The sequence below is a fragment of the Homo sapiens genome, chromosome 3 (genome assembly GCF_000001405.40).
Source record: "Homo sapiens chromosome 3, GRCh38.p14 Primary Assembly".
In the NCBI taxonomy this organism is placed as follows: domain Eukaryota; kingdom Metazoa; phylum Chordata; class Mammalia; order Primates; family Hominidae; genus Homo; species Homo sapiens.
The window spans coordinates 7,568,687-7,584,724 of NC_000003.12; the positions used below are offsets into that span (position 1 = coordinate 7,568,687).

Sequence of the window (16,038 nt, forward strand, 5' to 3'; positions counted from 1 at the left end):
AGAGCAGCGGGCCGGCCCTGCCGGCCCTGGGCAATGAGGGGCTTAGCACCCGGGCCAGCGGTTGCGGAGGGTGTACTGGGTCCCCCAACAGTACCGGCCCACTGGCGCTGCGCTTGATTTCTTGCCGGGCCTTAGCTGCCTCCCCGTGGGGAGGGCTCGGGACCTGCAGCCCGCCATGCCTGAGCGCCCCCCCTCCATGGGCTCCTGTGCGGCCCCAGCCTCCCGGACGAGCGCCGCCCCCTGCTCCACCGGTGCCCTGTCCCATCGACCACCCAAGGGCTGAGGAGTGCGGGCGCACATTGGGGAACTGGCAGGCAGCTCCACCTGCGCCCCTGTGTGGGATCCACTGGATGAAGCCAGCTGGGCTCCTGACCCTGGTGGGGACTTACTTGGAGAACCTTTATGTCTAGCTAAGGGATTGTAAATACACCTATCAGCACTCTGTATCTAGCTCAAGGTTTAGAAACACACCAATCAGTACCCTGTGTCTAGCTCAGGGTTTGTGAATGCACCAATCTACACTCTGTATCTAACTACTCTGGTGGGGACTTGGAGAACCTTTATGTCTAGCTAGGGGATTGTAAACACACCAATCAGTACCCTATGTCTAGCTCAGGGTTTGTGAATGCACCAATGGACACTCTGTATCTAGCTCCGCTGGTGGGGACTTGGAGAACCTTTGTGTCCACACTCTGTATCTAGCTAATCTAGTGGGGACATGGAGAACCTTTGTGTCTAGCTCAGGGAATGTAAACACACCAATCAGCACCCTGTCAAAACAGACCACTGGGCTCTCTGTAAAATGGACCAGTCAGCAGAATGTGGGTGGGGCCAGATAAGAATAAAAGCAGGCTGCCCCAGCCAGCAGTGGCAACCTGCTGAGGTCCCCTTCCACGCCGTGGAAGCTTTGTTCTTTCGCTCTTTGCAATAAATCTTGCTGCTCCTCACCCTTTGGGTCCACACTGCCTTTATGAGCTGTAACACTCACCATGAAGGTCTACAGCTTCACTCCTGAAGCCAGCGAGACCATGAACCCACCAGAGGAAGGAACAACTCCAGACACACCACCTTAAGAGCTGTAACACTCACCGCGAAGGTCCGCAGCTTCACTCCTGAGCCCGTGAGACCACAAACCCCACCAGAAGGAAGAAACTCTGAACACATCCAAATATCAGAAGGAACAAACTCCGGACACGCCGCCTTTAAGAACTGCAACACTCACCGCGAGGGTCCGTGGCTTCATTCTTGAAGTCAGTGAGACCAAGAACCCACCAATTCCGGCCACAGTGGTGGCAGGCAAAGAGAGAGCTTGTGCAGGGGAAGTTCCATTTTTAAAACCATCAGATCTCATGAGACTCATTCACTATCACAAGAACAGCGCAGGAAAGAACCGCCCCCATAATTCAATCACCTCCCACCAAGTTTCTCCCACAACACATGGAAATTGTGGGGTTTACAATTCAAAATGAGATTTGGGTGGGGATACAGCCAAACCATATCATTCCACCCCTGGCCCCTCCCAAATCTCATGTCCTCACATTCCAAAACCAATCAAGCCTTCCCAACAGTCCCCCAAGTTCTTAAATCATTTCAGCATTAACTCAAAAGTCCACAGTCCAGCGTCTCATCTGAGACAAGACAAGTCCCTTCTGCTTATGAGCCTGTAAAATAAAATAAAAAAGTTAGTTACTTCGTAGATACAATGGGGGTACAGGCATTGGGTAAATACAGCCATTCCACATGGGAGAAATTGGCCAAAACGAGGGCCTCATGCAAGTCCAAAATCCAGCAGGGCAGTCAAATCTTAAGCTCCAAAATGAGCTCCTTTTACTCCATGTCTCACATCCAGGTCATGCTGATGCAAAAGGTGGGTTCCCATGGCCTTAGGCAGCTCCACCCCTGTGGCTTTGCAGGGCACAGCCTTCCTTCTGGCTGCTTTCATGGGCTGGCATTGAGGGTCTGTGGCTTTTCCACACACACGATACAAGTTGTCAGTGGATCTACCATTCTGGGGTCTGAAGGATGGTGGCCCTTTTCTCACAGCCCCACTAGGTGGTGCCTCAGTAGGGACTCTGTTTGGGGGCTCTCACCCCACATTTCCCTTCCGCACTGCTCTAGCAGATGTTCTCCATGAGAGCCCTGCCCTGCAGCAAACTTCTGTCTGGACATCCAGGAGTTTCCATACATCCTCTGAAATCCAGGCAGAGGTTCCCAAACCTCAGTTATTGACTTCTGTGCATGCACAGGCTCAATACTCCATGGAAGCTCCCAAGGCTTGGGGCTTGTACCCTCTGAAGCCATGGCCTGAACTGTACCTTGGTCCTTTTTAGTCATGGCTGGAAAAGCTGGGACCGCAGTGCACCAATTTCCTATGCTTCACACAGCACAGGGATCCTGTCCCTGGTCCATGAAACCACTTTTTCCACCTAGGCCTCCAGTCCTGTGATGGGATGGTCTGCCAAGAAGACCTCTGACATGCCCTGGAGACATTTTCCCCATTGTCTCAGGGACTAACATTTGGCTCCTCATTACTTATGAAAATTTCTTCAGCTGGCTTGGAATTTTCCTCAGAAAATGGGATTTTCTTTTTTATTGCATTGCCAGGCTGCAGATTTTCCATGCTTCTGTGCTCTGCTTTCCTTATAAAACTGAATGCCTTTAACAGCACCCAAGTCACCTCTTAAATGCTTTGCTGCTTAGAAATTTCTTCTGCCAGATACCCTAAATCATCTCTCTCAAGTTCAAAGTTCCACAAATCTCTAGGGCAGCGGAAAAATGCCACCAAGTCTCTTTGCTAAACCATAAGAATCACCCTTGCTCCAGTTCCCAACAAGTTCCTCATCTCCATCTGACACCTCCTTAGCCTGGATTTCATTGTCCATATCATTATCAGCATTTTGATCAAAGCCATTCAACAAGTCTTTAGAGAGTTCCAAACTTTCCCACATTTTCCTGTCTTCTTCTGAGCCCTCCAAACTGTTCCAACCTCTGCCTATTACCCAGTTCTGAAGTCACTTCCACATTTTCAGGTATCTTTTCAGCAGTGCCCCTCTCTACTGGTACCAGTTTACTGTATTAGTTTGTTTTCATGCTACTGATAGAGACATACCCGAGACTTGGCAATTTATAAAAGAAAGAGATTTATTGGACTCACAGTTCCACATGACTGGGGAGGCCTCACAATCATGGCAGACTGTGAAATGCAAAGAGGAGTAAGTCATGTCTTACATGGATGGCAGCAGGCAAAGAGAGAGCTTGTGCAGGGAAACTCCCATTTTTAAAACCATCAGATCTCATGAGACTCATTCACTATCATGAGAACAGTGCAGGAAAGCCCACCCCCCATAATTCAATCACCTCCCATCACGTTCCTCCCATGACACATGGGAATTGTGGGAGTTACAATTCATGATGAGATTTGGGTGGAGAGACAATCAGACCATATCACCAGAGAAGTGGTTTTGTAGTCATTATTTCACTTAACAGCACAAAGATTTTCTTCTGCATTCCAGCCTTTTGGAGATCTTAGTTCAGTGGTTCCCAACTTTGTCCACATACTGAAATCACCTGAGAAACTTTGAAACACACTAATGCCTATTTCTTGCCCCTCAGAGATTGTGATTTAATTTATCTGGGGTGTGGTACAGGCTCTGGAATTTTTAGAAGATCCCCAAGTAATTCAAATGTGCAAACAAATTAGGAATTACTGCTTCAATTCAAAGTTGAGCCTCAGAAACCTTAGGGAAGTCTCATCCATCTAGGATCCCCTGGGGCTTTGCAGTGAAATACAGTTCTGGATCCTTCTATGGATGCCCAGGGTCTACTGCAGTTAAAAAAATTCTAATAATGCTGGCTGGGCACAGTGGCTCACGCCTGTAATCCCAGCGCTTTGGGAGGCTGAAGCGGGCGGATCACAAGGTCAGGAGATCGAGATTATCCTGGCTAACACCGTGAAACCCCATCTCTACAAAAAAAATACAAAAAAATTAGCCAGGCATGGGGGCGGGTGCCTGTAGTCCTAGCTACTCAGGAGGCTGAGGCAGGAGAATGGTGTGAACCTGGAAGGCGGAGCTTGCAGTGAGCCGAGATTGTGCCACTGCACCCCAGCCTGGGCGACAGAGTGAGACTCTATCTCAAATATATATATATATATATATATATATATATATATATATATATATATATATATATATAAATAATCTTTCTACCTATAATAATTCTTTCTATGTGGAGTACATTTAAAAAAGGTTGACTTTTATAAGTTTTGAATAAGTGGAATCTGAATTGGCAATGTTTTTTATTGTAATATAGTCCCTAAATTCTGTTCGCTGTCTAGTCATGCTACTTAATGTTCAGAAATAGAGGCTGAGTTTAAAAATGTCTTGAGGTGTTGCAGAATTCCTTACCAAGCACTCGCTAGCTCCTCTACCTCACCCCTCCTCATCAGAACCAAAACCTGGCGCTTTCCTAGTATTGAAAATTCAACATACCTATGAATTCTTCCTAAAAAGCCTTTTTTTTCTATCAATTAGATAGGACAAATGTATTTTAATGAACAAATGGCATTTTAATAAAAAAAGTTCTTTTTTTTAAATTAGCTGATTCTATTAAGGTTCTAACAAGTAAAAATAATATTGCAGAGAATTATGCAATAAAAGCACCAGCCAGCTTGGTCTATGGAGTAAGCTTTGGAAATATGCAAATGGAATTTCACCAAGAAAAATATCCCTGAAGTGATAAAATTTTCTTTTAGATAGAGTGTGTCTGCGTGGGGAAAGGAACAGATCTCTTCTCCATAAAAATGGATGCACTGAACAGTGTTTATAACAATTCTATCTCTTTGGTTTTTGTGTTTGGCAGTAAGACAGCAACTAATTTAGTTTTATTTTAAAATTCCAGTGATTATAAGGTCTGCACATTCCTTGCGGAGTAGCTTTGTCTCTCTACTAGAGCCAGACACCATTTTTTCCCCCAACATGTGTGCTAGAAAACTTTAGCTGGTGGTGCTTTTTCTCTGTTTCTGTCTGAGTCAGAAGCAATGGAGTCAAAGCTGATTTTCTGAATTCAGTACTTTACCACACCTTTTTCTGAGCATTCTCAGGAGACAAATAGAAAAACTTCCATTTCTTTCTAGAGTTGCCTACTATCCACGTAAGAATTTGAATTATTGGTGAATTTTTCTGACACACTAAGAAGGTTTGCATGTACCAAATGCAGAGAAAATGTATTAGATAGAATGCGTGACTGCAATTAGTAGATGGCCATGGAGAATTGGTTAGCCATTAAAGACAGTTTATCATTTCACGCTCAAAATTCCAGGGTAGAGTTTTATTAGTGTTAGTTAATTTGGTGACATAATTTTGCCTTCAAAGATGTAAATTCTTTTTAATCTGTCTTTTTGTCTTCTTTATTTTTATTTTATTTTTATTATTTTTTTGCCATCCTCAGCTTGTGAGCTTTGTGTCTTAGGCTTGCTTTTTTTTTTTTTTTTGAGATGGAGTTTTGCTGTGTTGCCCAGGCTGGAGTGCAGAGGCACAATAATGGCTCACTGCAATCTCCGCCTCCCGGGTTCAAGCAATTCTCCTGCCTCAGCCTCCTGACTAGCTGGGATTACAGGTGCCCACCCCCATGCCTGGCTAATTTTTGTAGTGTTAGTAGAGGCAGGGTTTCACTATGTTGGCCAGGCTGGTCTTGAATTCCTGACCTCGTGATCCACCTGCCTCAGCCTCCCAAAGTGCTGGGATTACAGGCGTGAGCCACTGTGCCCAGGTGCCTTGTCTTTTTCTTGTTGAAAAATGGCTACTATAGCTCTAACCATCATGTATGCACAAATCAAAGTTCAAAGGCTGAAGGCAGTGTGGAAGTGAGAAGTACAAAATAGAGTCACGTGTCAAAACGCTAACCAAAATAGAGTTAGTGAGGGCCAGAACAAAGAAGCTGACGTACTTGCATCCTTGAATGTCTTGCTCATAGCTTGCAAACAGCAAGAAGAGCTTCTCACAGGAATTTTCTCTGGCCTGCAGTATTTCAGATAAGAACCTCAGATCAGGACAGTTGCCTACCAATGACTATCTCCCCCAGTGAACTAATGGCAACTCCTGCAGTGAGTTTCTGAGACCAGTGAGCTTTCTTTCAAAGCGATTTGTGTGGGTGTCTTTCCTTTGTCTTAATTTTCCTTGGGTGTGCTGTACACCCCGGGTTACAACCCTTTGCTCTTCCCAAATGAAATCTTTTGTTCCAGACAGCCTGTCTGTCTGAGTTTCTTTTTTTAAGTTAACAATGGCATATTCGTTCTTTGTTCCTCTTGTATAAGAATGAAAAACACTTTCCTAGGACTCTACAACAAGCTTATTTTTGCTTTCTTTGACCAGAACTGCATAATTTGCTCTTTCCCTAAACTACTGATCCATTTATCTATGCAGTCTATTTGCCATGTAGAGTGTCAGTTTTTGCTATGAGATGGAGATGTAAAGTTCTGTTCTCTTGCCAAAAGCTAGGATCTCAGCCCTTCCCCAGGAGCTACCTACTAAGACCAGGTACCCCAAAACCATAAACCTTGGATGTCCAGAAGGAAAATGCATCTTTATGGAGAAATGTAAACTTGCATCTTCTAATGAAGATGATGATAAACACATCAGTCTTTTTCTTAATCTTTCTGCACCTTACATCTGGCTTTCCAGCTAACTGAAACAGTTTTGTTGCGGAGTTCAGGAGAAACTTGAAATTTACATTCCTGTTAGCCTTCTTGCAAAGTAAATTGACATTAGATTTGATTTTTCATAGCGTTAAATAATTATCTTCCTTTAAAATAGATGTCCATGGGCATTTTCAGCTGATTGTTTCTTATGAAACAAGGCAGCGTATCTGTGTGGGTGGGTATAGATATATACAAATGATATACATCACATTAACAAAATTCTCATTTACTAGAGCATTTAAATGTTAATCAGTACCTTCATGGGACACAGATTATATTTTCAATAATGATTTTTGTTAGCAAAAGGAGTAAATTAGACTTCTGTCCATCTGGAGCAGGAGGAATCTTTGTTGGTTTAACAAATACAAATAAATTGAGTTGAAACCTGCTTTAAACGAAAATTGAAAACAAATTAAGTGATCAGTCAATGTGATGTTCGTGGTTACAGCTCCTGTATATATTTGGATAAGTTAAGAAAAAAAAAGCTGGGCAGCATTGCCAGGTATTTTATTTTATTCCAAGGGGAAAAATAATGAGTTGGCAGCATTTTAAACTGGCTGTAAAGTATTACATATGATGATAATTTGTTTATATATTTGTATGAGCCCTACATTTATTCCTATAAAGTTTAATTATGTGGCACGTGAGTAGCCACTAATGTTGAAATCAAGCGAATGTATTTATTTTTGTTGTTGTTATTGTTCATCTTTCCTGGTAGCCATGAGTAAGACCTTTTATTCTGATGTTTGAAAACACTTGTATTAATACCAGCAGTTCTTTTAGGTTCCAACTCTTGAAATTTGACATTTGTAAAGTTAATGCGATCTTTCTCTCTTGTCATAAGTTATTTCCCTAATTTTATGACTCTGGGATGGCTTCCAGTGACTTATTGTCTCAAAAATGATGATACTGAGAAAGAGAAGATTGTGCTTTATAGTTAGTGATTTATTAGTGCTGACTTGGGCTTTCTGCTTAGGCAAATAAGAGTCATCTGAAGATGCTTGGATCTCTGGTTAAAGTTTAAATTCAACCATTAAAAGGTTATGCTATTTTACCAAGTTTAACTCCTGAGCCATTTATTTTTCCAAGTTAGCTACATTCAATTCAGAATTTGAATGTAGTTCACATTCAAGCGTTGATGAAAGAATCACTCTCTGCTATGCATTTCATTCAGTATATTAACACAACACTGAAATTCCAATATGCAATATATTATTTTTCTTTTGCCTTTATCTCTTAAAATTATGCACTTAAAAACATGTCTCAGACTTTCCAGTATCTTTCTAATCTATTGGTTAGTTCAATTGTATTAAAAATTCAATTAACTACATATGGAGAAAATCAGCCATCATTGTTAATTGGAATTATTCTGTATAATAACTTGCAGACGTAGTACATCTTTTGTGACTTGTGGATACTAAAACTATTTCATGCATATATTGCTCAGGACTCTTGGTCGCAAGTATTAACAATAAACTTCAAAGTATTTTAACATAGATAAATTTACTGGCTTACATAATGTCATAGTCTAGGAAAATTCTTGCTTCAGGGATAGCTATATCCAGGAGCTCAAACAAGCTCACCAGTGATCTTTGTCTTTCCACTCAGCTTCCCTCTATGTTGGCTTCTTTCTCTAATAAATTCCTCCTTTTAGCCATCAGCACTAGCCATCTTTTATCCTGGAAACTCTGAGTCCAGTGAAAACAAATATTTTTATCCTATGTGACCTCAGAAAAAGTCAAGAAATTAAATTCTATGACCTGGGACATAATGATGCCATCTCTGACCCAATATCTGTGGCTAGGAGGTTGGAATGTTATCAGTAGTTGACTAACATGGTTCCTGAACAATCCTCAGCAGCATCACCTGGGATCGTGTTAAAAATGCATATTCTCAGGGCACACCTCAGATCCAATGAATCAGAAAATCTTGCAAACTCTATTGTAACAAGTCCATATGATGGTGATGCACTCTCAATTTTGAGAACCACTACAATATACTAATTGGTTAGGCCTAGGTCATGTGCACAACCCAAGAGCTTCAGTGTAAGTTCAACCGCACAGAAAGCATATAGAAAAGAAATCTGAGGAACTGATACCGGGGAAGAGAAAAGAAAGAGCAGATGCTGTGCTGGCAAAGAGGAGAGATGCCTACTCTAAGGAGATTTCCACCCAACAGTAAAGTTTCCCGTTGTTTCTAATGCCATTATTTCTCAGAACACTGCTGGGTATGTTCCCCTCCAGAAAACCAATGTTTCAATTAAGCAAATACATTCTTCTCTAGGATAGTCTAAATGTCATCTGCAAATGGGGGATGGCCAAATGGTTTCCAGACCATATTATTTTCTTATCAAATACTTCCTGAATTCATAGGAAATAGTCTAATACAATTAAAGCCTTCATTAGTAAGCCCCACTTCTCCCCTGTGATAGTAGATTCACATTGCTGCAAAAGTTCTCAGTGAAAATGACAGTAATGCTTAGAGAATTTTAGAGAAGGTGGCCAGCACTGCAGTATTATCCAAAATAATTTTAGAACATTTTTAAAAAATAAAACACCTAACAAAGGAGATAAGTGTAGCTTTTCATACTGTCCTAGTTTTTTGTTTGTTTTTGTTTTTTACTTGATTTGGGACATTTATACTTATTACCCGGGGGGAAGACAGTAGAGTGCATGCCAGTTTTTCTCAAGTTATCTGCTCACAAGAATCCTTTGGGCACTTGTTATAAATACAGCCCCTAAGGTTCTTTTTCAGGATATTCATATTTAGAATGTCAGGAATGGGAAGAGGGAATTTGTATTGCCTCAGGGAATTCTTAAGATCTGGCACGTTGAGAACACTCTAATGGTGAAGAGTGAGGATGCTGGAATCCTATGGTATGGGCTCAAATCATACTTGTAACTCTTGCAAGCTGAGGGTAAACTATTCAACCTCATGCCTCATATGTCACTTGCCATGAGTACTGTTTGCTGCTGGTGTTCTTTTTCTATTCTCTTGAAGAATCTGCCTGATTCACCTTCTTATTTCTTATGTTACAGATAGAAGACATGCAGTGGGGTAAAGGAGTCCGAGAGATACCCGCCTCAGTGTGCACACTACCATGTAAGCCAGGACAGAGAAAGAAGACACAGAAAGGAACTCCTTGCTGTTGGACCTGTGAGCCTTGCGATGGTTACCAGTACCAGTTTGATGAGATGACATGCCAGCATTGCCCCTATGACCAGAGGCCCAATGAAAATCGAACCGGATGCCAGGATATTCCCATCATCAAACTGGAGTGGCACTCCCCCTGGGCTGTGATTCCTGTCTTCCTGGCAATGTTGGGGATCATTGCCACCATCTTTGTCATGGCCACTTTCATCCGCTACAATGACACGCCCATTGTCCGGGCATCTGGGCGGGAACTCAGCTATGTTCTTTTGACGGGCATCTTTCTTTGCTACATCATCACTTTCCTGATGATTGCCAAACCAGATGTGGCAGTGTGTTCTTTCCGGCGAGTTTTCTTGGGCTTGGGTATGTGCATCAGTTATGCAGCCCTCTTGACGAAAACAAATCGGATTTATCGCATATTTGAGCAGGGCAAGAAATCAGTAACAGCTCCCAGACTCATAAGCCCAACATCACAACTGGCAATCACTTCCAGTTTAATATCAGTTCAGCTTCTAGGGGTGTTCATTTGGTTTGGTGTTGATCCACCCAACATCATCATAGACTATGATGAACACAAGACAATGAACCCTGAGCAAGCCAGAGGGGTTCTCAAGTGTGACATTACAGATCTCCAAATCATTTGCTCCTTGGGATATAGCATTCTTCTCATGGTCACATGTACTGTGTATGCCATCAAGACTCGGGGTGTACCCGAGAATTTTAACGAAGCCAAGCCCATTGGATTCACTATGTACACGACATGTATAGTATGGCTTGCCTTCATTCCAATTTTTTTTGGCACCGCTCAATCAGCGGAAAAGGTAAGTGAAAATGCACATCATAATATGTTTTTTAAAAATGTGTTCATTTTTGTAAGTACTGAAACCAAATTGATTGTATAAAGTAAGAAGTTTCGTATATGCAGAATGGTATTTCCAAGAGTAGAGAACTAATTCAAGGTCTAGTAGGCTTCAATGCTACAAGAGTCTAAAACTGAGCCACGTTCATTCCACTGGAAACCAACCAGATGTAGCCTTTTCAAATCAATTAAATTATAGAATTATTAAATGTAATGAGAGATTATCTAGCATAAAATTATCTATCTAAAATAACCCTTCATATTCATTTATTCCTCAACTTCTCCACTTACCCACATATTTTTTGGGGGTAGGAAAAGAGGAGCATAGTACCTTCTCCAGGTGGGAGTGTGTGATGGTCATTACTATCACCAGTGTAAATGCTCTCTCGCTCTTCCAAGTGGCTACCTAGGCTATTGCTGTCCATTGCACTTAGTACTCAAGCTTTACAACAGAGTAGAGTTGCCCAATTGTATATGCACAATATATACCCAGGTGGGTGAATATAGGAAAGATTTGGTTAGCATTTCAGCATAGGCTCCCTACAACTAGATGGACATTAATCACATCCAGCAATTCACAGTGAGATCAGAGATGCAACTTTCTAAAAGAGGAAGAGTCAATATTTGGTGCAGAGCTAGTGTCATCAAGCTGTGAAACTTTGAGGCCAACATATTTGCTAGTTCACATGCACCTTCCAGGTAGTTATAAGTCTTGTGAATCTTTGATTTAGACAATTCTACGGTGTTGATTCTAGACATGATTCTTATACATCTGACTCCTATACTCACCCACGTGGCTATAGTTTCATGTAATATCAACCCTAATATATTGATAGTGATAAGATATGGTGTCTTTCACTGGATGTAGGCAGCTCTGGCAGGTCAGTACAACTGGGATCTAGAGTTCTAACTGACATACTCTGCAAAGAGGGCTTAGGGATAGCTTGATTAGATGTGAGGACATTGGGGGTCTAGTCTGATTCCACGTTACTTTGGACAAATCTCTGAAACATTCAGGGACTCAAATGGGAAAAACAGGGATTGATTTAGAATGTCTAAAAATTTACAACAGCCTGTGTATCCAGGAATTAGATTACTCTAGTTTTTCTTTGTTACCTCTGTTCTCCATATAATCATACAAAGGATTAATGGCATCTAGTTTTCCAGCTGAAAAGATGTATTTTACCTAAATTGTGTAATTCAGAGGGGCTATAATTTTGAACTGTGTTTTTAAAAAAGTAAATATTTCATGAAACCACACAGAATTCTAAAACCAAGGAGAATGAATGGTTCCAGATTATGGTTTTAGTCATAAAGTATTTTAGAGAAAGTTCTTCTAAAATATACGCTCAATAAGCATAGCATGTTTCAATTTCATAATCTATGTTTACTGTCTGTGAAACCAACTTGAATATCATTTTATTTCTTCTGTGTATTCCTGGGCCAAGGGAATAGTAAAATATGAGTTAGAGTGGTAAAATACAATAGAGAGAAGAAAAAAAAAATCCCCAAATATGTGCTCGTAAGTTGATAACTATTGAACTTTTTATAGGGAATGATGAGTATCTTAAAAGCCTATGGAGATAATAATTATTTTGTTATTAAAACAACTCAATACCTCATGCAACAGGTTGAAGACATTAAAACCTTTCCCGTAAGTTTATTCTTGGGGAACATAAAAAGGAAAAATAATTATAATGGTTTTATAGATGAGTCTGATTGCAATGCCTATTTGACAATATATGTCTCTACCATTTCATTTTTCATTTCTAGTCATGACTATGGATCTTTTCAATAAGGTCACAGGTATAATTTATGCATTCATTTAAAAACCTGAAATTGAAACAAGGTTTCAGGAATTGAATTCTAGTTGTTCTAGAGAACAATGTATTGGTAGAATTGGAGTGTGGGGAAATTTAAGCTTTCAAGCAGTGTGCTTTTTATACCAGAGTTTTAGAAGGCACGTAATTTTCTTTGTGTATTCTCAATAGGTTATGAAGTTTTACGTGGTTGATTGACACAATTAAAGGCACAAAATTGCCAAATGGGAACAGTAAATTATTACATGAAAATGCACATCCACTTATAGGCATATGGCTAGAGAAGCATGAACAACCAATGAGAAAATACCAGCGTGTATACATGAAACTATAGCATTTAAAATGTGGAAAGTGGCCAATTATCAAATGTAACAAAGAGATCACATCAGAAGGGATTTTTGCCAAGCCAGCAACCTACAGAATCACAAGTTTTTCATTTTTGTTTAGCTCTAACAAACAGTTTAAGTGTTTTAAATCAAAGAATTATATTATAACAGGAAAAATAAGATTAGGCAGTGAGTTCAGTAATAACAATTTACTGTTTCAAGAAATTGAATTTATATTGAGTATGCTAGGAATATCTGTAAAAATTTCTGTCAAATTCATAAGCACAACATAAAGAGACAGCAGTGTTCTTTTCCTTATTTTTTTTTTGCAAAATATTAACCCCCATGAAGTTTGTTTTTGCTTTTGTTAAGGAGGATATGGGAGACCACTGCTATCTTGTTTTATCATTGTTAATCCCATGACTTCTAGAATGAGCATCTTGCCATGTGGCCAGGGATGGAAGTGGTGAACTTTAACCACAAGAGAATGATTCTAGCTTCAGGAATTATATTTAGGTGGCGTAATGATGCAAGAACACACTAAAACTGGTACATCAATAGCACAGTAGAAGCTGGCTGGCCCAGTTTGATGTGATAATATACCATTATTTTGTTCTGGCACTATCTGTTGAAGACTAGAATGTTTTCTATAAAAAGCAAAAGCTTGCCTTGTGGTTGTGTCTATTCAGAGAGTTGCACATCTAGGAAAAGAAGTATGCCTCAGGTAGGGAACATACAGGCTACCCGGTCAAAATCTGAAAAATTCTATAGGTGATATGTTCATCTAGAGCTTTGTAGCCAGTTATTGCCTAAAGAGCTTTCTAGGTAAGTTAACATATCTTTATACACAGGCAGGGAGACATGCTTTGTGCAATGTGACTCTACAAAGGGAAAATGATCTTGATACACAAGGAATGGGATCATAAGTTCTCAAAGGTCTTCCTTTGTGTATAAGTGTGTTTCTTTAGATAGGAGGACCGTGAGAAGAGGAAAAAGAAAAAGATTGAGGCAATTGAAGGGCAGAGAAAATTGCTAAAAAGGAAAGTGGCTTGAAGAAAGAATTGTGTCCTCTAAAATGGCACCCACAGGCCACTTTTCTGTGCATATTATAACAGAACAAGGTTATATTACAAAACTTAAGTAATTTGATTTCCACGGGAGCCTTCGGTCACTAAATGACCAAATTGGGGCAACTATTGGCAAACTTTGAGCCAGTTCAGGATTCTTACCTCAGTGGTTCTTCAAATTGTGTTCATGGTCACCCCCTGAGGAATTTAACAAATTATTGCATGTCTCCCCAACCCTATAATCCCATACTGCTTCAACAGGTCTGGAATGCGGCATAGAACTATTCACTTTTCAAGTTTGCTGGAAAAATGCCAGTGGACACGATGCCAACCATACTTTTTAAAAGCCTTACTACTTTCTTCCCATTTACAGAAGACATCCTGTAAATATTTACTTGATTCTTAACTTCAGAACCTTTGGGAATCAATTAACTGCCATTTCAAGCAAAGGGGAGGTCCAGAAATCAAGGAACCAGGAGATCAGAAAGACACTAATCCACAAAGACAAAGTCAAGGATTAGAATGTCTAAATGAAGCATCAGTCCCAAGGCTTGGGCCAGAGACCATTAAAAAGTCAGGACCAAGTCCCTGGTCTTGGGACCAGAGATAGCAATAGAATAGGTAGACAGTGGTGCTCCCCAGCGGTATTTTTGTGGGGCTGAGAATATCGACCAAGAATTTTTGATCTTCTGCATGTAACAGATAGCCCCTCAGAATCTGAACACAAAGTAAAATCTGCCTAGAACTAATAGAGGGATCAGAAAATTTGGCAGGTAGATAAATGTTTCTCCATCCACGCCCAAGGCAGACATCACTAATCAATTATGACACACTTCCTCTGTACTCTGGTATAGTCTTGAAATCTTTCTCAATACAGTTTTAAAGCAAGGACTATTAACACATCAGAACTGGAATGAATTTGCAATCCATTGCTATTTCTGATTTAGTTTCGGATTCTTGATACCTCTTCCCATTCAGCTGTTTGCTGTCATTGTGTGAAAACCAATGATAGTTTTCGTAAAGATTAATCGACTTAAAGAACAGTCAAGGAATTGGGGTGTGCTTTAATTCTTGTTGGTTTCGTCTCCAATTACAAATCTTTTTTGTTAAATTGCCAAATGCCATACAGCAAGGAGCAGCCCTGGTTCTCTTAGGAAGCTATATATTAGTTTATGCTTCTGTGCTATTTGATTTGTTTAAAATTTTCTCATGGTCTTTCAGTAATTAAACTTACAATGCGTGTACTGTGCCCTTGGTACTCTGTTAAGGACTGTGATGCAGAGATAAAACAGTGTTCTTTTCCATTAGGAACTCATACACTAATGGTCAATGTAGGTCTTCAAACAAACATTGAATAAGTGTGAGAAATATGATAGTTGTCGCACAAAGAATGAAGGACAGGAACATGGAGAAGGAGCTTCCACTTAAGCTTCACAGAAAATATGACAAGTGGACTGAAATTTAGAGGCAGAAAAAGTGGCATGACAATGTAGTAAGAAATTATATTACTCGTTAAAAAGTGAGGGACAGTGTTTTCAACACATAGCACATAGAGAAGAGACAGATTGCACTTACACAACTTTGACTCTTGTAAAATGTGAGATTATAATCAGAATTAATGAAACCTCATTCTATCTGCAAATTTTCGAACAATGTGAATTCCAAATTAACTTTTGGCAAGAGTCACATCTTTTCCATATAGTGGGTCAAGTTAATTTGAAATATTGTAGCTTGTAAGCTGAAATGCCTGTTCTACCTTAAGAGGAAATATTGACTTATGTGCCTGTTGAATTCTGCATGGTCTTTCCTTTAATGCAATGCCACCACCCTCTCATTTTGTAGGGCTGGACTCTATAGCAGAGGCAAAGATATGGCAAAAAGCAGCAAAGCCAAATTGTGAAGGGCTCTGTTTGAATTTTCTCCTTGAACCTATGAAGAGTCAGCAGAAGTTTCTAAATGTGGGAGAAATGTGAGCATAGGGTATTTTGAAATGGGAATTTTGGAAATAGTGCTTGAGTGCGAAAAGCAGCTAGAGGTAAGAAAACTAGTTGAGTATTACAATAATTTGACAAAAGATGGCACTGGTTTGAAGAAAGCTTAAGGGACTGGAAAAGAT

At 40.3% G+C, this 16,038-nt stretch overlaps 1 protein-coding gene across 7 annotated transcripts in view; it reads left to right on the plus strand.

The window, feature by feature from the left end:
* The window catches only part of GRM7 (glutamate metabotropic receptor 7), an 880,419-nt gene that overhangs the window by 707,572 nt on the left and 156,809 nt on the right, over positions 1 to 16,038 (plus strand). For all 7 annotated transcript variants that reach the window (XR_001740135.3, NM_181874.3, NM_000844.4 and 4 more), the window contains exon 8: positions 9,736 to 10,671. Coding sequence is in view for 6 of the 7 variants with exons in the window: in NM_181874.3 (NP_870989.1) it covers positions 9,736 to 10,671 (936 nt within the window). In the remaining variant the exon portion in view is untranslated. The remainder of the gene's footprint in view (positions 1 to 9,735; positions 10,672 to 16,038) is intronic.